At 41.8% G+C, this 26,974-nt stretch overlaps 4 annotated features.

Annotated features, from left to right (window-relative positions):
* Nucleotides 266-315: an enhancer, noted in NCBI's record as "active region_25661". NCBI's record gives its function as "activates an Ori minimal core promoter by ATAC-STARR-seq in GM12878 lymphoblastoid cells {active_cell/tissue: GM12878}" and the evidence as "EXISTENCE:reporter gene assay evidence [ECO:0000049][PMID:35858748]".
* Nucleotides 406-455: an enhancer, noted in NCBI's record as "active region_25660". NCBI's record gives its function as "activates an Ori minimal core promoter by ATAC-STARR-seq in GM12878 lymphoblastoid cells {active_cell/tissue: GM12878}" and the evidence as "EXISTENCE:reporter gene assay evidence [ECO:0000049][PMID:35858748]".
* Nucleotides 18,431-19,177: an enhancer, noted in NCBI's record as "OCT4-NANOG-H3K27ac-H3K4me1 hESC enhancer chr7:11233081-11233827 (GRCh37/hg19 assembly coordinates)". NCBI's record gives its function as "activates a minimal SCP1, AML or CMV promoter by ChIP-STARR-seq in naive H9 embryonic stem cells {active_cell/tissue: H9 hESC(naive)}" and the evidence as "EXISTENCE:reporter gene assay evidence [ECO:0000049][PMID:30033119]".
* Nucleotides 19,178-19,925: an enhancer, noted in NCBI's record as "OCT4-NANOG-H3K27ac-H3K4me1 hESC enhancer chr7:11232333-11233080 (GRCh37/hg19 assembly coordinates)". NCBI's record gives its function as "activates a minimal SCP1, AML or CMV promoter by ChIP-STARR-seq in naive H9 embryonic stem cells {active_cell/tissue: H9 hESC(naive)}" and the evidence as "EXISTENCE:reporter gene assay evidence [ECO:0000049][PMID:30033119]".

The following is a 26,974-nucleotide window of genomic DNA, read 5'->3' as shown; positions in this document are numbered from 1 at the left end:
CTGACTATGTTTTTTGTCCCCTGCCTACAGACATAAGCATCCAAGCAAGCACATGGGAGGAGGCTCAGATCTGTGCACCCGCCCACTGTCCTCTACATCTCATTTGTTTGCAGAGGCCATATTTTAGACACACCGTATCTGAAAAACAAATGGAATTTGCTTAATTAGGTGCATCTTCCTGGCAGCAAAGACAGAGAGAAGATAAAGCACATTCAGAGGAAAATGCTATAAGCTGGAAAAAAAATGGTGGGGGATCCTCTGCCATGGCTAGTAGCAAAAGACATTAAAATGTGAATCTGAATGTCTTTCCAACACCCCATTCTAGTGCAGATGCAAATACTAACATGATCCAGCAGATGGCGCAAGGCTAACTCCAAAGCCTTCTAGAAAGCTAGAACACATTCATTCCGAAGGGCCCCAAATATCAAACTAGAGAACTAATAAGAACTGTTATACAGTACACCTTGGAGCTATTTAATTATGTAATTTTTTTTCAGTTCAACACAGTCCTAGAATTACCTGTCACATTCCTTTTTCTCTCTTTTTTCTGCACACAACAGTAAATTTGGGTGGTGCTTGTTAGAGCAGACAGCCAAACAAAAATCACTAAATACACACACTTATTCTATTCTGTTTAATCTGTTGGATCTACTTGTCTTTCAATACATAATTAATGTACCCAGATCTATTATTTTTATGTGATTTATTCATAATCATATAATTAAAAGTAAATGGAACTGAGAAGTGTGGAAGGCTTTAAAACAGGAAGGAGGAATCTAGTGGTCTTTAATGATGTCAAAAGCTCTCTTGTTTATTCATTAATAACTACTACTTTTGCCTCAAAATTTCCTAAGTTTTTGCAAGCAGTGCAAATCTAATTGTCTGTTTCTTGTGCAAAATTCAGAAGGAAAATATTTCTCAATTACCTAAGTTGTAAAACTACACAAAAGGACACTGAGTTTTTAATAGCAACATTATCTGGAGAAAAAGAGGACCTTCCAAGAATGAAAACAGGATGAGTGTCATAAATGGACAGTCATGACATTCTATGTTTTTTTTTCCCCTCCAGGATCACCATCCCCACCATTAGGTTTTGATTTTACAACAACGTATAGCTCCTCTTAGAAAATGCTTAGGATGGTTTCTACATAGTAGATTCTTTCCAGCCTAATTAATAAGCTAAAGTGACCGTGTGTTTTTCAGTTATAAATATCAGCGTGTGTGTTTCCTGCTGACTACAGCTTGTACCCACTCACTTCCTTGCAATTAACATGTTATATTGTAATTTGTGGATCATGTCTTTACTTCTCCAACTATATTGTAAAGTTCATAAGAATACGTACTTTTATCTTTATACCCCCAGTGTCTAGCAGGACCTAACACATAGAAAATACTTCACAATACCAGCGAAGTAGTCAATTTAATAAAGTGTTCATTCAATCAAAAAGTTCACTTTAACCAGTTATGTATAGGCTTCTTGAAAAGAATTTGTTTTTTTTTTTTTTTTGCAAGTAACATCAAACAGTGGTGACATCTCTGGTGGTCTCTCAGCTCAAAATCCTTCCAAGAACTGGAGATACTGTTCTTTCTAAACAATTTGGCTCCCCCTCACCTGCGAGAACATCAGCAACAGCTATACATGGGAAAGAATATTAACAAGAACTTCTACTTCTTGAGAATTAAATGTGGTTGAAATGACCATGAGTTCAGTCAAAATAGCATTGTCAGTAGCTTCAGACAAAAATAGTCAGAAAAGGCAGTCAAGAGTAGCGAGTTGGCTGCTAGAACTCCAGCCATTCAAAAAATTTTTTTTAATTTAAAATAAAATGAAAAAATTTCAAAGTAGATGGTACACTCCTCTTGGTTGATGACTGTCAACAAGGCTTTTTTCCCTACCATTTATAGGTGTTTTCTTCTAATTCCATACAACCATTTTTACTCAATTTACTTCTCCCCCTTCTTGACATATTTTGCAGTTGCTGAAAATTATACTGAATGTAAAAAGAAGAAAGGAAACACCTACTCAGTGGGGATAAGATCACATGAAAGGATGTTCCTCAGTTAGTCATTTGGGTCACCTACCTATCTTGAGGCAGTCTGTGTTCAAAACAAATCCTGAAAGATAATTATAGTCCCTTTCGCTTTTTATTTTTGAGTGTTTAAAATTTACATAAGTAAAAGATGCTGGTACTATGTTTTCACCTTGTACAATAGTATCTAATTTTCGCCTCTACAACCACCCCTCAGTTACATTTTCCAGAGTGATAGTTCCAACTTTTTATTCCTTTCCAGAAATGTCACAGGTATATATAATAATATACACATACATACGTGTGTGTGTGTGTGTGTGTGTGTGTGTGTGTGTGTGTGTGTGTAATGTTTTGTTCTTCTTTAGAGACAGGGCCTTACTATGTTGACAAGGCTGGATTCGAATGCCTGGGCTCAAGGGATCCTCTCGTCTCAGCCTCCCGAGTAGCTGGGACTGCAGGTGCTCATTACTGGGATCCACACATGTATATATATTTTAAAATGGAATTATACACCACAAACTGTTCTAGGGCTTGCTTTTTTCAATGCACACTACTTGTTTTAATACTGAGTAATATTTCATCGTGAAGTTGCACTATAATTTATTTAATCAATTCTTTTACTGACCAATGTTTAGTTTGTTTTCAATTTCTCATTTCTAAAGGGCACTTTTGTGATCATCCTTCTATCTACCTTTGCATGTTTATACAAGCATATCAGTAGAAGAGTTTTCCTAGTAGTGAAATTGCATGATCAAAGGGAGTTCACATTTTAAATTCAACTACATATTTCCAAACTGTCTCCTAAAACAATGCACCAAATGACTTTGCCACCAAGAGTATACAAACACTCCCCTCTGCACCTTGACAAACTCTCTCCCCAGGTGTATTTTATTATTAGCTCACAATAACTAAAAATATAAGTAATCATAGATAATTTGTAAAAATATAGGAACAGCAGGAAACACAGAAGATAAAGCTTATTCTTCACATATTATATATTACTATAATTTGTGTTATTTTCATTATTTTTGTAACAACAAAAATCAAAAACATATGATAACAAAACATGGAAGGATAGGAATATAATCAGTGTATGTATAAACTCCAATTTGTTCTGTCTGTGAGTCCCCTGCTTGCTGAGACAAAGGAGGTAGGCTGTTGGCTTTAACCAGAAAAAAATAAAACTCTATTACCCACAATCCTTACAACTTCCTTGCTCGTTGATGCAGCAGTGACAATACAATAAATCTGCTTGTTCATGAGAGGCTGACATAGCCCAGTTTAGGAAGGTAGCACACGGGGGCCTGTATCATCATACATCACCTGCAGGTGCTGCTGGCCGTGCTCTGCAGAGTGACAGTGCTCTGATTTTCCTCTTTTTTTGTCACCGACTCCTCCAGACATCACTGTCTCATCAAATGTAGCTGATTCCTGGCCATATTTTCCCTCTTCTTGTCACCTTCCATTACTTGTACTCAGATAAATCTCCTTGCTTTGGCAGAGGGGTTGAATATACAACCTTTCTCCCAGCAGTGATCAATACCCACACAGAGATAAGCCAGCCAACAAAGGGTGGGTGAGAGCAATAGGACTGGCTCTTTCCATAATTATGTGTCACATTTGAGGGGTTTCTAACCTCCACAGTGTAATCCGTAATAATACTCCACATTTTAGGAGGATATGATCACAAGCTAGACACTATTGTGATAGTGTTATAAACACATGCCACAGAGGCTTTACGATACAGGTTAAGGGCCCTGAGCCACCAGGCCCAATGAGGTGCGCTTCTGGTTCTATCATGATTTATTTGTAACCCGTATCTCCTAGGCCTTACTCTTACGTGGAAAGAAGCGAGATTCACAGTATCTACGTGAACACTAATTTCAATGGCATTGATTCCATCTACTTATGCAACACCCTGTAAAGTCTGATTCAATTATTTTGGGGAGTCTGCAGGGGGTCACCCTAATGTGCTCCCGTAGCCAGTTGTCAGATCACTCCAGAGTTACACTGCAGCACCCGCCATGTTCTCTTCGGTCTGCTCCTTTGTAACTGCTACCTGCAAAGGCACTTGAAGATGATGCCCTCCTAGCCATGTCGTCTATGAGAACTTGAAGGTCTGTTTCCAGGATCAATTTCCTGATTTTTCCTAACTTTTAAGGAGCTAGTGTGGCCCTGTGGCCCTTGAGGAAGCAGAAGCATGCTCCTCTCCATGCAGCACCCGGGCACAAGGGCGACTTTGTCCATGCCCCTCGCCCCACATTCCCTCCCAGAAACAGCTCCACCAGTCTCAGCCTCTAGTCCCTCTTTACAGAACTCGACATAAGTCCCCCCAGAAGCAGCAAACCTGGCTTGGACGTCTCCGCCCCTGTTTCTGGCTTTCCTGAAGTTTACTTCCACTCAGGCCCATCAACTCTTGCAAACAGAGGCTGAGGGGGCTCCAACCCTACCGACTCAACAGTCCTCCCCCTAAGTTGCTTCTATATCACTCATTTGATGTCTAATGCAATTCCATGACGCCAAAAAGAAGTTACATGCATAGCTGCATTCTGTAAATCATGTGAAAGATAGGCTTATGCAGTAAGTCTTTACTAAATAGTAACAACCTTCTGGAGTTGCCTTCTAGACAGAGTTGTTTTTAATAGCAGTTTTGTGTATTCTAAAATTCACAAATTTGAACACAGTTGAGCATGCTGTGTTCCTAACAGGAATCTTCCCTGTGAATTCAGCAATGAAGACAATATCTAGTCTTCCCAGACAAATCTATAACACGGGCTCCAGTGCCCACATCACATGCCCTTGGCCTACCTCTGATTGCAGCTAGAGGGAGAGATGCTGGGTGAGTGTTTCCATGTTCTTGCTCAAGATGTTCTCTGATATCCGATAAGCTCCAGGCCTGTACAAGCACAGCTCAAAGCAGAGAGGAGTTAATGTCTTCCTTCCCAAAGGAGATAGTGAAATACCTCAGACTCCTGTCTTCCAGGTGGGCAATTCCAGGGGCATTCTGGATCTTTCTCAGAGATCCTGGCGGAATTGAACCCCATTGCTTACAATGGCAACTTTAATAACACATCTATCTCTCCATCAACATTTCCTTCTTCCTGTTTGTTTTCCTGCTCCTTAACTTCTGCTTCATGGGATCACATTCCCAAAACTACTTGGTGCCAAGTCCTTATCTCAGGCTCTGCTAACCAGGGAAACTAAACTAAGCCATGGAGCTTAGTTTAATTTAGTCACCCTCCTGGATGACTGGTCCATTCTTTCTGACACGTTAGTGCATGAAACAATGTACCACAGCAGACTGAAAGAGATCTTAGAGGTATAACAATTAAATGCAATAAGGAACATTTTTGAGACAATTATAAAAATGTGAATATACTCTGGTGTTTGATGAGATAAAATAATACTGAATTGAAAAATAGACATTATTAACTAAAGAAGCAGATTACCCCCAACATTATATACATATATATATCCCAAAGACATAAAAAGTTATCTGGGAAGATGTATCTACTGTTCAGTCTTTAGGCATTTGCAATATAGTCTATTTATTCTGCTAGTTTTACTTTTCTGTGTTTTCTAATATTCTACCACACTCGTATACTCCTTCTGTATTTAAAAATTATATTTTTAAAAAGCTAACGCTGTGCCTAACTTTCAACTTGTTATTTTGCTATTCCAGGGAAGTTTTTATACAATTCAGTGATGAATGAATCTGAGAAACACAGAAAAAGGTAAATGGACTAAGGATTCCCCCATAATGCTCTGTGGCAAGATAAGAATATACAAGCCATGACCCGGCTCCTGTGCAGACAGGAGCCCATAAATATCAGAGTCCAATTCCATTTGAGTTATATTCACTCTTCCCTGTAAACTCATTCACATGCATTCATTAAAATACTGAGAGGACAAAGACACATTCCTCAGTCCAGATGCTTGTTTTAACTGGTATTTCATAATTTATGATTGCAGGGAATAGGAGCCAGCCTTCCTGTTTACGAACTGCACCTGATGTGACTCGGCAGGAAACTTCCACCAAAACATACATATTCTCCATAAGCTGGTCATCCTCCTGTACACTTAATCTTCTCCCAACCAATCCTCCCAAAAGAAAATAAATATTTGTAGATTAAAGGAGAACTGCCTTCTCATCCTTTACGCTGCTGGTGTGCAAGCTGTTAAGCACAGAGTGTTTAATTAATGGATAGATACCATTAGAGAGACAGCTGGACCTGCATCCAGATGAGTTTGGATTCAAGGTGCCAGGAGATAAAGATCTGAAAGTGGGAAAGCTGAACTGCAATTGGGTTCATTTATAAAAGAGGCTGTTAAAGGTCAACTGTGTTTTCTTGTGCTAGAGATAAAGAGATGCTATTAAAAACAATTGGAAAGTAATTCATAAGGGAGCACTAAGTCACTCATGTTAAATTAATTTGTCTTTCTGATAGCATGGCATTCATGATGGGAAAGTAAATTTACCCCAAATCAAGATCTTTCAAAAACAGCCATTGATCATGTACTCCCTGCAAAGCCACTGGAATAAACCCCTGTGTGCCGGGACCACTGGTGCTGTGTGATCACAGCATCTCCATAGTTCACTGAAGCCCCTTCCCAGGCTGAGAATTAACCAATTATTCTGAAGGACAGCAAGTGCAGTGACATTTCTGTGGATATGCTGAGATGCCTGAGCCTGCTGATGTCTTTCTGTCGCCTCTGATGAACTAGTGGCCAAGCACCAGAACAACCCATCGTGCACAATTCCACTTTTCTGAAATTCAGCAATGTATTAGAACATTCTAGCCCACTGAGCTCCACTTACAACCCTCCCACCTCTCTGCCAGTACTACAACACACCCCATGTTCAAACATACACTTACCATGATGAAAACTTTTTAATTTATCCAAACAATATATTTACAATTATGAATGGCAGTTTAACTCCACATAGTGACATCAAACACTTTCTTTGATCATCTCCTCTTCAAGGTAAAGCTTTTCATTCAAACACTATCAACTGTTCTCCCCAGTTTCCTGATGGCAGCACATGTTATGACAAAGGGTGATTGCTTTTAGTGCTCAGAAATGCCAGCCTATTAAGACACATCTTCATCTTTCTCTGGGCAAGATAGAGATTGTGTCTATTTGCTGCCATGCATGGGGATGAGAGGGGAAAAATCCACTCCATCAGATTGTGATTCCTGTAGACATAACCCTGGGTATGACCAGGTTCTCTCTCTCTCTCTTTGTTGCCAGAGGAAAACTGCTTGTTGCTTCTTTTTCTTTCTTGAGATTGAAAACTAATTGGGGTCTTTCTTTATTTCCTAAAATCACGGGAATAATGAGCAATTCCCCACAAAGTTCTATTTATGAAAAGGTCTGCACTTCCAGGCATACACTAATTACAGCCCAGCATAGCGAGCTGCTCGCCATTTTCCCAGCATCAGTCAGGAGTGTCAGCCAAGGAGAGACAAAGAGAGTTACAGGCAGTTAACGTCTCCCATTTACCACTGCTGATCATTTGCAGGTTTTAATAACAGCTTTGCAATTCAGATTCTGCACCAAAAAGGATTTCCAGGTCAGATATCACAGGGTTTCTTCTGAGGCTGCCACCTTTGAAAAACTAGAGGCATGGACATGTTCAACATTAATTGCGCTAGAATTGATGCACCTTGCTCACGTTCAGACTTCACAAACATGACTTTAACAGCATGTGCTTTAGGCTGCAGTCAGTGGAGGGAACTCCAGAAATGCAAGAGGCAAGGTCATGAAGGCTCCCCTCCTTCAGTGGAAGCTAATGAGAAATAGCCCATCACAGAGGGGTCAAGGATACCAGCCACAACAACAGCTACCACTTACTGAGTGCCTGCTATACGTCATGGACTAGCCCACTTGTTTTACATACATTATCTCATTTAATTCCTAACACCACATTGGGAGATGGGAATTATTATTTTCATTCAAGCTTCCCTAAGATTAAATGCCTAGTAAACAGAGGAGATGGGATGCACTCATGCTCCTTGCTCTATGTTATGTGTCTGAAGTCATTTGTTGCGATCCAGAGTTTCCAATGAAACTATGATTTTAGAAATAACTAAAATGTTCGAAGTGCACCTTTTTTTGTTTTGTCTGCCCAAACTTCCTCTCATCTTAATTTAGCATCAGCACTCATGTCTTCTGGGGAATATTTCTTCCACCACATCCAACCAGCCGCAATGTCTTTACAGACCCTCCACTCCTCTGTCCTCACTGGATTCGTCCAGGGATGAACACCTCCCCGAGCAAGGTCACTTCCTAGGACCCCGCCCACCTCCCTAGCAACAACTGTTTGTGAGTGGGCATGTGAAAGAGTAATCATCATCATCACCATCATAACTAAAATATACTCGTGTTTTTATGTGCCAGACATTGTATATTTAACAACTTTTATTCTCACAACAATTCTATGCTGTTACCGTCCCCATTTTACAGAGGTAGAGAGAGAAATACAGATGGGTAGGTACCTCCCCCAAGGTCAGGTAGCTAGGAAGTCACAAACCTGAGACTTAGTTTGTATCAATTAACTATTGCCTCAAAAATTCTAGGTTTACAACTCAGCGGCTAAAAACAACAATCATTTATTTTCCCTGGTCTGGGTGTCACATGAGTGGCAGCTGGGCTCAGCTGTGCAGCTCTGATGATCTTGGCTGAGCTCGCTCATGCAATTAGGGTGAGCTGGGGGTCAGCATCTGCAGCCTGGACCAAGCTGGGTGGCTCTGCTCCACATGCCTCTTATCCCATCCTGGGACCTGAGAGCTGGCCTGGGCATGTCCTTCTCATGAAATAGCCAAAGAACAAAAGCAAGGCAGAAGCAGAAGAGGCCTTTGAGGCCGGACACTCTGCTATCTCCACTTCATCCAAACATGAAGTCAAGAGGTGGGAAATGTAGCCTATCTTCTGGGGAGAACTTACACAGTGAAAATCAAAGAATAAAGATTCAGGGAGAAATAAAGATTTGGGGCCAATGCCACAATCTACCTCATATCCCCTCTAATCCTACAGGAATTTCTCATCTCAAGCTGGGGAATTTTTCAGTTCCTGTGGGTAGCAAACATTATGAGATGTGAAGCTCTAAGCCTGTCAGCATCCACATTCCCCCGTGTGAGGAGGAAGACAGTCTGCCTTGGTACTGGAGAGCAATACAGAGACAAAAGACAGAAAGTCTCAGCATGTCCACAATCCTGGGACCAGCTGTCCTCCAGCCTCAGCCATGTCCCTGCCCTTCCTGTCATTGGGTTGCTCAAGCCTGCTTCTGAGGTCTTCACCCCAAACTCTTTCAAGTTAGTTTGATTTTCTGTCCCTTGTTACTCAAAAAGTCCTGGGCAACCCAATTCTCTGTAATGAATGAAACAAATAATAAACTTCACTAATTAATGTTACCATATGCAACACCCAACATGTATTTTGTGCATCTACTATTTGCAATGAATTACATTAGAAACTGGGGGTCACAAAGAATGGGTAAGATTGAACTCATTATCCCTGTCCTCAAAGAACTCATATTCTAGAAGACATAACACAGCCACAGCTTGCAACACTGCAAAATGGGCACAATTTGCTCCGAAAGGGAAGCACAGGAGAGGGTGGGATTAAAGTCTGATTTGGGCAGAAACAGGAATGCCTCGCAGAAGAGTTGGTGTGGGCTGTCAGATTCAAGAAGATGAATTTCTACAATCAGAGAAGAGAAAAGGGGTGGGTGGCAGTGAGAGGCTTTGGGTTGGGGGAGGATGGTGATGGCAATGGGCAAAGTCCCAGAGGTATACATCATTTGGTGATTGATAAGAAATATTAAAGAGGAAAGTTGGAAAGAAGAACTGTCAGTGTGCCTCTAAGAACTACGCAAGGGAGCAGGGCCTTGTTTAGTTGGCAGAATTGTTCTGCCCTCCTTAGCAGGCATTATGTCCCCAAAGCGCCACAGATTGTCAAAAGTGCCCCCTTGAGATTGTCCGACTCCTTTTATCCCGACATTGCACTTGCGAAGCAATCTTTTCATCATTATTTGGTTTCCCACATAGGCTGTCCTCTAGGGAAGAGAATGAGCTACCCAGCCTACAGTAAAACCCCAATCTTCTTGGCAGTTATTTCTTAGCATAAATTTTTAAAATTGACAGCCTAGTTTATAAAACAAACTCTTGGGAATACAGTGCATAGCCAGCACTCTTTATTTTACATGAACCCAACCTACGCTAAGCAAAGAGGTTGTCTGGAAAATGATCAGTTTGGCTTGCAAAGGAGGAATATCAGGAACCAGGGCTGCTTTGAGGCCTGCAGGCTAGGGAACCTAGCACTCCACATTCTGTTCTTGTCATTGTTTGGGGCTTTTCTATGTGTGGAAAGATGCTGGCAGCTCTGAGGTCATAGTTTATAGCTCACAAGGAAGATGGAAAAAAAGTGATTTTGCTCATTCCAACAAAGGAAATCTTAAAGAATACTTCCTATTGTTCAGATTTGGATTATATGCTCATTTGTGAGAAATGCCAAGGGGATGAAATACAATGATTATTCTAGTGTGGGCTCAGGTGGTCAGAGATGGGTAAGAATCCTGTTTCATCCTCCCTGTTTGGGAGGATGGGGGTACATCCTTCAACAGAGAAAATCAGCATCACCACCTTTGTTTATCTTGAACCAATTATGCTTAATGCCCAATGGTCCCAAGGATAATGGGTGAAACTGAGTCTGAACCTACAAAGTAGGGGACTACACATGGATCTGCCTTCCCCACTCCCCTCTTCTCCTAAGGATGGAGCAGCCCAACAATTTTTACTCTGGCACTGCATTTCTTTAAGTCATAATTTGTGACAATACAAGTTGAACAAGCTTTCTGACAGGTCATGGATTAAGTCTGTATAGGTCAACCCTGTGAGTAGGGTATTAAATTTACACCGGGGTGGAAAAATCTGGCTGAGCATCAAAGGATAACGAAAAATGGTTGTCTTTATCTATGTTGTTTTCTTGGGGATGCACTCATGTGCCCTGCAACATTGACAAAGAAGCTTTGGGATCAGCAATATTCTAGATGCTCAGGGGAAACAGTAGGAAGAGGACTGGCATGCTCAAAGCATATGCAGTCTGATAGAGTTTAGATATTTGTCCCCACCCAAATCTCATGTTGAAATGTAATCTCCCAAAGCTGGAGATGGGCCTGGGGGGAGGTGTTTGGATCCTGGGGGCAGATCCCTCATGAATGTCTTGGGCCATCCCCTCAGTGATAAGTGATCTCTCAATCTGAGTTCACATGAGATCTGGTCATTTAAAAGTGTGTAGCACCTCCTGCCCACACTCTCTCACTCCTGCTTTTGCCATGTGAAGTGCCTGCTCCTGCTTCACCTTCCTCCATGAGTTAAAGCTTCCTGAGGCCTTCCCAGAAGTAGATTCTGGCACTATGCTTCTTGTACAGCCTGTAGAACTGTGAGCCAATTAAACCTCTTTTCTTATAAATTACCCAGTCTTAGGCATTTCTTTGCAGCAATTTGAGAATGGCCTAATACACAGTCATTCTCCACATCTCAGCCTAGGGAGCCGGCCTTCCCTTACCCCTACTCACGAAGCTCAGCACTGCTTTCAAAACAACACAGGAACCTGCAGTACTCACAGCTGCAAAGGTCAATGGTTTTACAGTGATGAATGATTTCTTTTAGCCTAAATTAAACTAAGGACTACTTATGCAGGTCAACAACAGCCTATTAATAAAGTTTTAAATTAAGAGCAGTTAAAAGCATGGCTAATAATACAAACTTTTGAAAGTGAGGCTTGAAACATAATCAAAAATGCAAGGGACATCAGAAGGCTAAAATCCCATTGCTCATCTGTGTCACTCTTGACCAAGGCCCAGCCTCTTTGATACTGTCTCTTCATTTGTGAAAGCAGCCTGTGAGACAAGTTCATCTCTAGGGATCTTTTATTGTCGAAAGATCTAGGATTCCACCGGACTACACAATTCCTAATCTTTTCCAGGATGGATGCCTTAATGTGTTCTCAGTGTGTTTTGTTATTTGTGAGAATGGTGGGAACACTGGTGTGGGAACAGTGTCTATGTGCTAAACCATCTGCAATAACTAATTTATACCGCATAGAAGAGCATTTAGCACTCAGCACTTGGAATCACACAAAGCTATGTTCAAATCATGCCTCCTCCTCCGCCATGTGAGGAACATTGTGAAGAAAGAACCTGTAAGATTTGTTTCTGGCCTTTAGGGTTTAGGACACTCAACAGTGGCTCCTTGACTTTGATTCTGGAAGATATAGGAAGATGAGGATGCAGAGTCTAGTTTTAGACATCCTAGAGAAAATGTGGAAGAGGCAGAGAGAGAAGACAGAGTGGAGGCCCTGAGCTATACATTCTTTTTTTTTTTTTTTTTGAGACAGAGTCTTGTTTTGTCACCCAGGCTGGAGTGCAGTGGCATGATCTCGGCTCACTGCAAGCTCCATCTCCTGGATTCACGCGATTCTCCTGCCTCAGCCTCCTGAAAAGCTGGGACTACAGGTGTGTGCCACCACACCCAGCTAATTTTTTGTATTTTTAGTAGAGACCGAGTTTCACCATGTTGGCCAGGCTGGTATTGAACTCCTGACCTCATGATCCACCCTCCTCGGTCTCCCAAAGTGCTGGGATTACAGGTGTGAGCCACTGTGCGCAGTGTAAATTCTTAAATTGGCAATAAAATCAGTAGACTGTTTGTTTCTTCGCCAGTGAGGGATAGAGGCTGAAAGAGTTGGTTCTGACATGTAAATTAGTGATGGTCTCAAAAGTGGTGTTTCACTAGAGACAGGATAAACAGGGCCTTGGAGTACAAATACAATTGTAGTGCTCTGTTGACACAGATACTATGTGGAGACAGCTGAAAGAGGTGGTCGTGTCTTTCTCCTGCCATCTGGTGTGATAAGGGCAAGTCCACTCAACCTCACCCTCACTTTATTTTGGTTAGCTGACTCCCACTTCATGCCTTATATTGTTGCCTTTTGTGAATAAGGAAAAGACTCTTCCAAGTGCCTGTCTCTTCCTAAAGAAGGTGGGGTAGTGCCTAGGATCTGCAGTCAACTAGGCCTGGGCTTAAATCCTAAACTGAAACTGATTTATTCCAATTACATAACTACTTTCAAGGAGATGGGTTGACAAATGTCCATCAATAGATGACTAGTAAATAATCTATGCTTTACCCAATGAAATACTATGCAACTATGAAAGAGTGAGAAGTCTTTTATACACCACAATGGAAAGGTCATCAGGAGATTTTGTCATGCAAAAGAAGCAAAATACAAAACAGTCTGAATAGTATGCTACCTTTGAGCTATGAAGGGAAGAAAAGAACATATTCATATACATCATTGACATGTACTTTTTGTATTATATACATAAACAAACATTGGAAAGAGATCCAAGAAACTGTTAAAGTAGTTCACCATAGGGCTGGGAAACGAGAGCATGGAGCACGGTGGACAGAATAGAGTGGAAGTGAGAGTGTCAATGTGTGGCTTTTATATTGTTTTGATTTTTGAACAATGTGACTATATTGCCTATTTTTCAAATTTTAAATTCAACAGAAATTGAGGATGTTTATTCATTAAGTTAATGCTAGATGCTATTGAAAATAAATCACAAAAATCAAAGGCTTAATATAATATATGTTCACTTCTCACTCAGGCCAAAAGCCCATAATCATTCAGGGACCCAAGCTCTATCAAAATAGGTCTCCATCCTCCCATGAATCTTGGAGTCCTCTGCATCCAGCTGGCAGGGAGGAGGGAGGAGAAATGGGCCTGAAAGGCTTTGGCCAGAATTCAGCCACATGGCTACCCCTCACTACAAAGGAAGCCAGGAAGACAGGTAGCCAGTCTCTGACATCAGAAGACAGGGAAAGGGGAAGAGGGGAAGGAGGGAAGGAGGGAAGGAGGGAAGGAAAGAAGGAGGGAAGGAAGGAAGGAAGGAAGGAAGGAAGGAAGGAAGGAAGGAAGGAAGGAAGGAGGGAAGGAACGAAGGAAGGAAGGAAGGAAGGAAGGAACGAAGGAAGGAAGGAAGGAAGGAAGGAAGGAACGAAGGAAGGGAGGGAGGGAGGGAAAGAAAAAAGGTCTGATTAATTTTGTTTGCTGAGTTCTTAAACTTATGACTAGAGCATTGTTTTGAAACTGTGGCATTCAGTAACTGTTCTTGTGGGGCAAACTGACACTTATACAACAGGGCTTAAAACAAGACAGACTTATTGACGTTGATGAGATCTGCACATTCTCGAATCCCATCCCTTCATCAAACGCCTAAATCTTAGGTTAAAGCCAGAAACACATCAAAAGATGTGTTATTAGGGCAGATCATGAGGTTCCACGGACATCAGGACTCTGACCAGGACCCCCTATTTTGTTTCCTTCAAGATTGAAGGCTAGTGCTTCATTTATGAATCCCAGGAAGTATGATAAAGAACACAATTGGCAGCTCACGCCTGTAATCCTAGGACTTTGGGAGGCCAAGGCGAGTAGATCACCTGAGGTCAGGAGTTCAAGACCAGCCTGGCCAACATGGCGAAACCCCATCTCTACTAAAAATACAAAAATTAGCTGGGCATGGTAGCGCATGCCTGTAATCCCACCTACCTGGGAGGCTGAGGCAGGAGAATTGCTTGAACCTGGGAGGCAGAGGTAGCAGTGCACTGCACTCCAGCCTGGGAGACGGAGCAAGACTCCATTTCAAAAACAAACAGAAAAAGAATACAATAGTCTTCAAAATGCCCCAAAGGTTGGCACTGCTAGTGTTCCAGGATTTTCCTTAGTTCCGCTAAAGACGGGGTTCTTGTCTATCCCACAGCCACAAAAATTTAGGCTGGCAGATGGTTTAAAGGGTGAATAAAGCAGAGTTTTATGGGGTGAAAAGGGAAAAAAGAGCAAAACAGGGACTCTTACTAGGTCACAGTCCCTCTGCTAGAGCACTTCCCACCTGGCAGTTTGAATCCCAAGCTCCACATAGGAAAAGGAGGGGCCAGGCTCCTCCCTGCTGCAAACAGCATGAACTCCCCAAGGCTCCACCTCAGTGGGCAGCTGGTTGGGGTTTCTCCAGGGACCCCCTCCCACCTGGCTGTCTCATTCCCCTCTCTAAAGAAGTAGATTAAGGATAAGGATGAAGGCCAATCTTAACTGCTTCCTGATGGCAGGGGGTGCTGTTTTGGGGAAACAGCAGTCAAAGCTTCTCTAGAGGCTGATCTAAGGGTCCCAGGCAGAAGGGGTCATCCTCAGGAGGCTCCAGTTGCATAACTGTTTGGAGTCTGATGGCCTGAAGACAAGAACAGACAAACCAGGTTATTAGAAAACATGTGTCAAAACAAAATAAGGGGAGGGGTAAGGACAGCTCAAAAAATTCCAAGGCCTTTTACCAGTTTGCACAGGGAAGGGGAGGCGACAAGCCTGACTGGCAAAAATACTTTACCCTTTTGCAGGCATGTTGGGCTTCTGAGCTCCCTTCCTCTGAATCCAATCCCAAGCCAAGTAGTTTAAGGTTTGGGAAATTAACTCTTTCTAGTTTGGAGGATGCAGCTGAGGGGGGTGTCCCATAGTATGGAGTCACAATTACCTATTAGTGAAGAGAGAACCGAGGAGAAGAAAGAAAAAAGACGACTCTTTTTTAAAAGAGTCCCAAGGGTTCAAGATGCATTCGAAAGGAGTGCAGACTGAAGATGAATGGCTACCCATCTAGAAAGAGGGGAGCAGGCATCCCTGGTTCCCTTCTCTTCCTCGCAGATACTCGGGGTATGTGAGGGAGAGAAGGAAGAGCATCCTCATTCCCTCTTCCATCCTTGCATCCCTGAGTCCCGGTGACCTTGGCAGGTGCCGCCATGGGTGTCAAAGCAACTTGCACCCATGAAGCAGGGAGGTCCTAGAGAATAGGAATTATCTGCTCTCACCTATGGCTCTTTCCAACCTACTTTCAGTAGCCTGGGAGTTCCCTAACCCCATTTATGCCAGGGATATTAACGTGGCCTTTATCCATGAAACAGGAAGCTTGGGCTTGGCTTAATCAGCAGGAATCGGCCATGCTCACCTGCTCTGTGCCTTTTAACTTCCGTTATCATCTGCCTCTGGATCCCTCAGATCCAGTTTTCTTTTCTAGGGCTCTGACCTGAAGCTTGGAATTGAGTCAGGGACAAAAGTGTGTCTCAGGGGGTTGCATGGACTCCTTATTATAAGCTGAATGCTAAAGTGAAACTGTGGAACAGAGTCCACCTCCAAAAAGAAAGAGAAAGGATGTCTCGTGACATACCCATATAACTGGCAGCTATAGTTATGCTTGCCAGGATTAGGGTGCATGATGCTTGGCTTCAATTAGCTCCCTTGGTTTTACTTTCCCAAAAAGAAAACTGCCAGGTGATGGGCACCCTATTTATTCCCTCACCTGGCAGGATTTGCAGGATAATTGCTCGGAACTAGAATATTGATCCAGATTTCTACATTACCCACCCCTCTTGTTCTTTCTGAGCTGCAGCTGAAGATTGCTGGTTGGTTCCCAGGAACAAGTAGGGTTACTCTAAAATGTAGGCAAAAACTTAAAAACTAATGAGTTTAGAATTTAATGACAAATGTATAAGTTTTAAAACATGATCTCTCTCCAGTCCTCATTTGTGTTAAAAAAAAAAATCATCATAGGACTTAATGGTTTGCAAAACAGGCTTTATAGTCTTATTCTTGGCCTGATTATTTGCATAAAGTGCAGCAAGAATAATTGTTTCTACATAGGCCTTTTGGATTGGCTTTGATGGAAGTTTGTTCCACAAGGAATCTCCGATAAGACCTTTTAAAGCCAAGCCCAACCATGAGTTTGTATTCTCAGGCACCTGTGAGTTGGGTAATCCTTTCCTCTTAAAGTCCCAAGATAAACTGGGAGCTCCTAGACCTGTTAGAAAGTGACATTCTTTACTGACCACAAGCCAGGAACCCTGTACAGGGACTGCAAAGACAAGGGTATGAGGCCAGTTTCCCCACGGGGCTTTTATTGGCTCTGCAAGTTAAGATTGACTCCTTAAAAGGAAACATACCCTTCCAATCAAAGCCTTGGTAAAATAACCATTTTCTCCAATCACGTCCTGTTGCAAAAGCAAAATGGATTCTTACTGCACTGATGCAAACACCTATATTGCCGTAAGTTAAGAATGCTCACAGATAGTTTCCAAATTCTTAGAGGAACCAGCCAGAGAGAAACAAACATGCTCCAAATTTTGATCATAGGAGTATACCTTGCCTAATAATTAAAAGCCATAAATAGCCCAAAATAACTTTCCTTAACTGTGAAAAACAAAACAAGGATCTGCAATATTCCAAGCAAAGGTTAAAAAGATTGCTTCAGCTTCCTGAGTTCAGTCCATTTAGTTAACTCTTGTTTTGCTTGATATTCATAAACATTTCAGCTCTTCATGAGTCCTGTACATTTTCCTTTATTCCAATGTTACAATCTCTAAAGTTATCAGAAGCCTGCATTTGAGAGCACATTTTAAAGTTCTATAGCTCATTATAGACCATCTTTGAAAAGGATTAAAACAAGACAATTGTCTGTGAATGCAAAATGTCCAGTTTAGTTACAGTTAGAAACACAATTGACAAAGAAGTTTGGTTATCTCCGTGGTTTCAATAACTTAACATAACTACCTTAATTACGATTGACAGCATATACTCAGACATTAGAAATTTAGAAATCCCATACAATTTGGGAACATATATTAGAATTATTCACCGAGATATAACTTAAAGAAGACTGAGCATCATTTTGGCATTCCCATGTACCTAAACATGTCAAATAATCCTGTTTACCTCTCTTTCCTGGACACTTCAGAGGCCCTCTGAAGCATTCAAAAAGCCAGGTGCCAAGGAAGACAATTTTGAAACTAAAGTGTGATTTGGGGAAGGCTGTTAAATGTTCAAGGTTCAAAACACTTGATATTATGAAATAGAATTCCAGAATACCATGAGTTATTTATTGTGCCAAAATGATTACTCAGAAATTTTAAAGAAGCAAAAACCTTTTATAACCCTTTACAAATTTTGCCAAAGAGCAGACTAGCGCCTTAGGAAAACCTTGTCGTCCTTTTGTTTCAATGCTCAACTTACAGAAAAACAATGTAATAATATCCTTTTTTGAATTTAGTCAATATGTTCACACAGGGAACCTCTTCTGCAAGATTAATTTCCACAATTCTTCCACCACTTCTTTGAACCTTCAGCTTTTCCTATCTAACTCAAAACAATCCTTTAACCCTAGGCCAAAGTTTACATTTCCATGCCTTCTTATAACCTTTTACCAAAACACACACACACACACACACACAAACACAGTAAAAATTTTGCTGTTTTTACACACGTTGATTGTAAATCTATTTTCAGTAGTCTCAATTACATGTTCTAATGGTAACACCTTGCAATTTTTAACTTTAAGGTAAAGCTTGGTAAGTTGCTTTAATTGTGTGCTAACTGCAGCCAAGGTTTGCCCTCTTAAGAGCGTGTTTAGTTCCACATGTCCCCAGTCCTTACCAGTTGTGAAGCCAGCAAGTCAAATAGCTCCCAAAACCCAAAGAGCAGCAGTTGGTAACCTCAAAACACTTAGCAAACCTTTTATCTGACCTGCATTTTACCAGTAGTCTTTAGGGCTGTTTTTATTTCTCAAAGATTAAAGTCATGTGAACTGAAAGGTACCACAGATTTTAACTTCCCTTAAAAAAAATACATGATCCAAGCACTTGTCTTTCTTTAAGCCAAATTAATTAGAGCTCTTTTTACAGACATTACACACAACACACACACAGACAAGAGAAAACCCAGTCGCTGTGCGGGGCCCTTTAGGAGACAGGGCTAGGAAAACATGCTGATACTGAACCAGAGAGGGCTCACTCCCTAAGGCACGGTTGCTAAACAAAGCTTTGCCAAGTGGTTACTGGCCATGCCCCCAGGATGTAAAACATGCTGGAGGCTTGCAGTGCAAACAAAAAGACGCCGAGCACACCAGATTGGCCACAGCCCAAGACTAGCCCCACAGATCCTTTCTCACAATTAAAGCTTTACAGAAAATATAAACGGTGATAGTTGGGGAGCCTAACCTAGTAAAGGGGAGAAGAAAACTTTAAAGGTTTTGCTGCTGATGGGGCGGAGAAGAGGGGGAAAGAAAAGGTGTAAACATACCTGGGGAACAACCTCTTATTCTCATGCAAGTGGTTCCTCCACCAGGGAGAAAAGGTTAAGCTTAATTACTGTCTGATAGAGTGAAACCCCTTGGCGAGGGAAGGGGAAGACTGCGCAGCCGCGCGTGGCTGGAAACCAGCCAGCCTGCTGTGCGGGACCCTTGCGCTATGTGTCCCAGCCCCGGCTGGGAGTGGGGAGCTGCTGCTCACCAGTGGGTCCTGAAAAAGGAAGGAAAAAGGCCTTTAAAAAGGAAGGCAAAGGCCATGAAAAGACCTGGGAGCGACGGGGGATGGGGGCATGGTTTCCCCACCCTCAGAAGTCCCAGGATGAAAAGGCTGAGAAGCGACAGTTTTGATCCCCCATTTCACTCACCGCTTTTTGAGCCCCACATTGGGCACCGAAAATGTTGCAGGACTTCATGGATGAAGCTGAAGATCATTATGTTAAGCGAAATAAGCCAGGAACAGAAAGACAAACATTGCATGTTCTTAGTTATTTGTGGGCTCTAAAAATGAAAACAATTGAACTCACGAGAGTTCAACTATCCCCACCTCCCCTCAATCTCCCACTACCCTTCCCAGCCTCTGGTAACCATTCTCCAGATGGGCCTCAGATGTGCTGTGGGGAGGTGAGGATGGTGAAATTGAGAAAGCCTGGTTTGGAAAAGATGAGTAACGAAAGGGTGAATATCATTGTGGGATAGCAGACAGTAAAGCGTTCCGTCATAGAAAGAATGAATAAGACTTGCTATTTGATAGCACAACAGGGTGACTACAGTCAGTAATAACTTAATTGTACGTTTGAAAGAAACCAAGAATGCAAGTCCCTATAGCTGTTTAAGTTTAAAAAGGAGGTAAAATGGCATTTATTTTTGTATGTTCATGGGATAACTCATGACTATCCCCCATGTACATCATTTGACTTTCTCTGAAACTAATAAACTTTGTGCTTCCCTTAAACTTTTCAATTTAAAAAGGCCCAACACAGTGGTGGGCATCTACAGTCTCAGTACTCGAGAGGATGAGGAGGATCCTTGAGCCCAGGAGTTTGAGGCCAGCCTTGGCAACATAGTGAGATCCTGTCTCTAAAAATAAGTAAATAAACAAATAAAAACTTGCTTTTAAATGTTCAAAAAAATGTTGCAGAACTTTTCCTTAGTTCAGCCAAAGTCGGGGTTCTTGTCTATCCCACGGGCATGAAAATTTAGGCTTGCAGATGGTTTAAAGGGCAAGTAAAGCAGGATTTTATTGGGTGAAAAGGGAAAAAAAAGGGGTAAACAGGAACTTTCATAAGGCCAGAGTCCCTCTGCTAGAATTCTTCCCGCCCAGCAGTTTGAATCCCAAATTCCACACAGAAAGAGGAGGGGCCAGGCTCCTCCCTGCTGCAAACAGGGAACTTCCCGAGGCTCCACCCCAGTGGGCAGGCTAGTTGGAGTTTCTCCAGGGACCCCCTCCCACCTGGCTGTCTCTCTAGTACCAGTGGGGTGTCCAGGATGGAGGTCAGATTTACTTACCAGAATAAGGAAATTCAGAGCAAACAAATAAGATTACTAGGTATTTCCAATGGAAAACGGTGCCTCATTTAGAGATACCTTTCCAGGGTTACCTAATTCTAGCCTTTCATTATCTTTGAGCTATTGTATAATTGATGACAAAGCAAATCATAATGTCTGTGGACATATAGCTGAATTGTCTGGTGGAGGAACAGCCCTCCTCCTCCATGGAAAAGCCACTTATAGGTCCATTTTAAAATTCATTTCGGTATTACTGATCTATAAATGTATCTGCTCTTTGGATTCTCCTTTGAACTGATGGTAACATTTCTCTGGTTCTTTCCTTAACAAGGAGTTAAATAAAATCTTTAACATGCATTTGTTTTTTATCTGCATGAGAGTCATAATTCTATCGTCTTTTGAAATGCTTTGTTAACACCCATAATTGTCAAGAATTTCTGTTAAGGATTTGTGCGGAGGGCTCTCGTCAAGCTTTCTTGTTTTCTTTCTTTTGTTTATTTGTTTTGTTTTCCCTTTAAGTTATGCCTATCGTCATTGCCAGAAAAGCTGTTATGCAGCACAGCAGAAGAACCAGGCAATGAAACAATCTTGCTATCTTCCTCTTCCACCCTCACCCCAACTGTTAGGATGTTATGCCTGCATAATATCATCAGAAAGCCTGTTCTGATGACATTTCAAGCTCCCACAGAATATGCTGTGAATCTTCTGAGAAGGCCTTATTTGCAAGATTTGTTCAACAAAGAGGTTGGATAAGCATCTTGGATTAAACCTTCAAAGCAGCAGGCTTTTGGTTACTTTTCCCCAGATTAACCTGGGAACACTTTGAAACTCTCTTCCTTATCATAACATGTTTTTTGAAACCATCGGTTTTCATAATGAGAAACACTTTTGTAAACATGCTTCTTTATACATTTCCTTCTAATTAGCAAACCCTTTATTTTGCACAAAATTTCCATATTTAAACTTTATCTGCATAGGATATTTAGTGTGAAGTATTAAAGAATTAGACGGCTAATGGAAAATACATTTTTCCCACTGATAGCATATCAAAATCTGTTAGTCTATCCATTAATTTCTAGCTGTTTAGCCTCCAGGAAGCCCAGAGCCAAATTTGCAACTTGACTTTAATAACTCAGTAGGACATACCTGTCTGCATTCTACTTTTCTCCAGTCTTAACCTTGGATTCAAATTTATATTTTACCTGTTCCTGATTTTACTTACTTATGTTTATTTTCTTCTATTGTATTTTGTGCATTTTATAAGCCATGTATACTTCTTTGGGGAATAGGCCAGCTATAGAGAAATAAATTTATACAAGTAGATCATATATGCCTCTGTATTTCATCTTACATGAGAAATTCCAGAGAAAATCACAATGTCTTTTGTCATTGTTTTTTCCTGGTATATTTCATTCGGAGACAATGAAGCACCTGTACTTGGGTATCTTATTTAACTTGTTCATGTGCTATGTAACTACTGAATATACTTTAGGAATGGATAAACAAAGTCATGGTAAATTAAGCTGGTGTGTTTCAGTTCTTACAGTGACTTACATCATTTAAATAATGTTGTATTTTTCAGTTTCTGTAAATATTTCTCAGCCATACCTTCATTTATTAGAAAAGTACTTCCTGGGCCGGGCGCGGTGGCTCACGCCTGTAATCCCAGCACTTTGGGAGGCCGAGGCGGGCAGATCACGAGGTCAGGAGATCGAGACCATCCTGGCTAACACGGTGAAACCCCGTCTCTACTAAAAATACAAAAAATTAGCCGGGCGAGGTGGCGGGTGCCTGTAGTCCCAGCTACGCGGGAGGCTGAGGCAGGAGAATGGCGTGAACCCGGGAGGCGGAGCTTGCAGTGAGCTGAGATCACGCCACTGCACTCCAGCCTGGGCGACAGAGCGAGACTCCGTCTCAAAAAAAAAAAAAAAGAAAAGAAAAGTATTTCCTGGCCAGGCGCGATGGCTCATGCCTGTAATCCCAGCACTTTGGGAGGCCGAGCGGGCAAATCACGACGTCAGGGTTCGAGACCAGCCTGGCCAATATGGTGAAACCCCATCTCTGCTAAAAATACAAAAAATCAGGCCGGGTGTGGTGGCTCACGCTTGTAATTCTAGCACTTTGGGAGGCCGAGGCGGGAGGATTGCCTGAACTCAGGAGTTCAAAACCAGCCTGGACAACACTGTGATACCCCGTCTCTACTAAAAAATACAAAAAAAAAAAAAAAAAAATTAGCCAGGCGTGGCAGCGGGTGCCTGTAGTCCCAGCTACTCAGGAGGCTGAGGCAGGAGAATTGCTTGAACCCCCAGGAGGCGGAGCTTGCGGTGAGCGGAGATTGTGCTGCTGCACTCCAGCCTGGGCAACAGAGCAAGACTCCGTCTCAAAAAAAAAAAAAAATACAAAAAATTAGCTGGATGTGGTGGCATGCACCTGTAGTCCCAGCTACTCGGGAGGCTGAGGCAGGAGAATCGCTTGAACCCGGGAGGCAGAGGTTTCAGTGAGCCGAGATCCACCACTGCACTCCAGCCTGGGTGAGAAAGTGAGACTCTGTCAAGAAAGAAAAAGAAAGAAAGAAGGAAGGAAGGAAGGAGAGAGGGAGAAAGAGAAAGAAAGACAAAAGTACTTTCTGATCACCAGAATCCCATCAGTCTTTCTATAAACTTCTCATGGGGTTAAAAAAAAAAAATGGCCTGCCGTTATGCTTTCAAGTTAAGTATGTAATTGAACAGGTTTACAGCTCAGGGGCTTAAGTTGCATCTCAATCACGCTGGGAGCCCAGTGCCCTCCAGATCCCTTGGAGAAGGAAAACCTCCCTAAAAGGAATCTAAGGAGTTGCCTTACAAAGGAAAAGGAAATGGGCTGGTTTGCTGCCTTCCTGCTGAAGTGGGGAAAGCTCACGTGACGGTATTAAAAGCACACTGGATATGAAGCCCCAAATCTGGGTTCAAGTTCTGGTGTTGCAAATTATCAAAATGTAATTTCCGACACTTATACAACATGTATAATAATCCACCTAACCTTTAGAGTGGCTGTGAGGATTCAATATCAAGAGGTTTGGCATGGAGCTAGGTTCCCTCATTACCTGCTCCCTCCCTGCTTTGCAGTAAGAGTTAACTCAGGGTATACATGAACCCCAGCACTTACTCAGCTTCTTTCTTTCCTCATGACTGATGGCCACACTCAGGCAGCCTTTAGCAAGAGAAGCTCAGAGCTTTCGGTTTTACTCTGTCATGAGTGATGTGCCTAGACATATCCTTGGACACAGTTCATTTTACCTTAACTATCGATGAGGAGACTTTCGTTTATGTCCATTTGTGGCAGGCTGTATTTTCCAATGATCCACATCAACTCCTCCCATGCTATAAGCTCTTCTGCAAAGTGAAAGAAAAGAATAGGAAATCTGGTTTGTCTATGCATCCAAAAAAGAACTAATATACAGAATTTATAAGGAATTTAAACAAATAAGAAAAAGAAACCCATTAAAAAGTGGGCAAAGGACATGAACAGACACTTCTCAAAAGAAGACATACAAGCAGCCCAAAAACATGAAGAAATACTCAACATCACTAATTGTCAGAAAAATGAAAATCAAAACCACCATAAGCTACCCTCTCACACCAGTCAAAATGGATATTATTACAAAGTCAAAAAATAACAGATTTTGGCAAGGCTGCAAAAAATGAAATAAATGCTTATACACTGTTGATGGGATTCATTCAGCCACTGTGGAAAGCAGTTGGAGATTTATCAAAGAACTTAAAAGAAAACTACCATTTGACACAGCAATCTCATTACTGGATATATACTAAAGGGAAATTATAATAAATGTCCTTCCAAAAAGACACATGCACTCACATGTTCATTGCAACACTATTCACATAGAATCAAGTAGGTGCCCATCAATGGTGGATTGGATAAAGAAAATGTAATACATATATGCCATGGAATACTATGAAGCCATTAAAAAGAATGAAAAAATGTTCTTTGCAGCAATATGGATGCAGCTGGAGGCCACTATCCAAAGTGAATTAACGCAGGAACAGAAAACCAAATATTGCATTGTCTTTCTTATAAGGCGGAGCTAAATCTTGGGTACACATGGACATAAAGATGGGAACAGTAGATACTGGGGACACTAAAAGTTAATATGTTCACTATCCGGGTGACAGGATAAGTACAAGCCCAAACCTCAGCATTACAGTTTGTTACCCTTGTTACAAACCTGCACATGTACCCACTGGATCTAAAATAAAAATGGATTAAAAAAAAAGAGAGAGAGAGAGAGAGAATCTGGTTTGTGAAAAAATTCAATACCCAGGCTTCAAGTCATTCACTTTCTCAATATGGAACCAATGTTTCAAATTGTCCTTTTGATTGTCATTTATAGATTTTTTGGGGTTGGATGGGAGGGATGATTTTTTGTAAAGTAGGAATGGAAAACTGATTTGAAGACTCCTCTGGAGTATTCTTGGCAGGTCAGTTTGGAAAAGAAAATATAAGGAAGTTGAGAATCTGGAAATTGATTACCTTAAAACTACAATGGGCAAGTGTGTTTTGCAGGTCTTAATGTACCTCAGGGAAATGCATTCCCCAGCTTGAAGACTTGCTTTTTCCAACCACCACTTTTGGTGAGATAATTTGAAAAGCAGTTTTATAGGATGTTACTAGAAGTTAAAAAAAAAAAAACTGAATAGGGCTTCATAATGGAAAAATATTGGAACAACTCCAATGTAACAAGGTTTCTTCATGGTACTTCTCAGAATACACTGTGCCCTTCTAAGGGGGTAGAGGATACAGAATGCAACATTTCCCAAACTGATGTGGAAAGATGTGAAAACTTTTTTTTTTCTCTTATGGTACATGGTGATGTGGGAATATGTTCAACTGAAACTGCTTTTGGAAACATCAACTGTTTTAGCTATCTGTTGCTGTGTAAAAAATTACCACAAACTTAGCTAAACACAACACACATTTATTATCTCATGGTTTCTGTGGGTCAGGAGTCTGAGCACAACTTAGCTTGGTCATCTACAAGACTGTAATCAAAGTGTTGTCCAAGGATGCATCTCATCCAACTGTTCCACTGGCAAAGGATGCATTCCAAACTCACTCAGGTTGTCAGCAGGATTTACTTCCTTATAGTTGTAGGACTGACAGCCTCATGATCTTGCAGGTTGCTGGCTGGAGGCCATCCCCAATTCCTACAAGCCTCCTTCAGTTCTTGCCACTTGGGTGTCCTTTCATTAAAGTCAGCAAATGAGCAGAGAGTCTTGGCTTAGTTTGTTCAAGCTGTTATAACAAAATACCATAAATTGGTGGCTTATAAACAATGGTAAATTTTTTCTCACAGTTCTGGAAGCTGGGAAGATGAGGATCAAGGTGCCTGCAGACTCAGTGTCTGGTGAGAGCCTGCTTTCTGGTTCATGGATGGTGCCTTCTTGCTGTGTCCTCACAAGGTAGAAGGAATCATGCAGCTTTCTGGGACTGTTTTATAAGGACACTAATCCTGTTCACGAGGGCTCCATTCTCATGACCTAATCATCCCCCAGAGTCCCCACCTACCATCACCTTGGGGGTTAGGATTTCAACCTATGAATTTTGGGAGGACACAAATATTCAGACCATAACAAGTGTCTTCACAAGACAGGCATTACTATCTGTTTTGTTTTGTTTTGTTTTGTTTTGAGACAGCGTCTTACTCTGTCACCCAGGCTGGAGTGCAGTGGCGCGATCTCGGCTCACTGCAACCTCTGGCTCCTGGGTTCAAATAATTCTCATGCCTCAGCCTCCCAAGTAGCTGGGACTATAGGCATGCACCACTACTCCCGGCTAATTTTTTGTTAATTTTAGTGGAGATGGGTTTCACCATGTTGGCCAGGCTGGTCTCGAACTCCCGACCTCAAGTGATCTGCCTGCCTCAGCCTCCCAAAGTGCTGGAATTATAGGCATGAGCCGCCATGCCTAGCCAGGCATTACCATTTTATGTAACATAATTACATATGTGATTCATGTTCATCCTGTCATATTTATCATAATCACTTAGATAGAAGCAAGTCATAAGTCTCACCTGCACTCAGAGAGAGAAGATTAAACAAAGGTATAAATATCAGGAGGTAGGGAACGTGGGGGTGAGGACTGTAAAACTCTTGACACAGATGACTTTGCTATCACCCAGAGTAGGAGACTTGAACAAATTCTAGCATGGCGTCTGTCCACTGAAGGCTATGTCCGTAGGATGATGATATCAGGCCCC

Source organism: Homo sapiens, chromosome 7, assembly GCF_000001405.40.
Source record: "Homo sapiens chromosome 7, GRCh38.p14 Primary Assembly".
NCBI lineage: Eukaryota > Metazoa > Chordata > Mammalia > Primates > Hominidae > Homo > Homo sapiens.
This window is presented reverse-complemented; position numbering and strand designations above follow the sequence as displayed.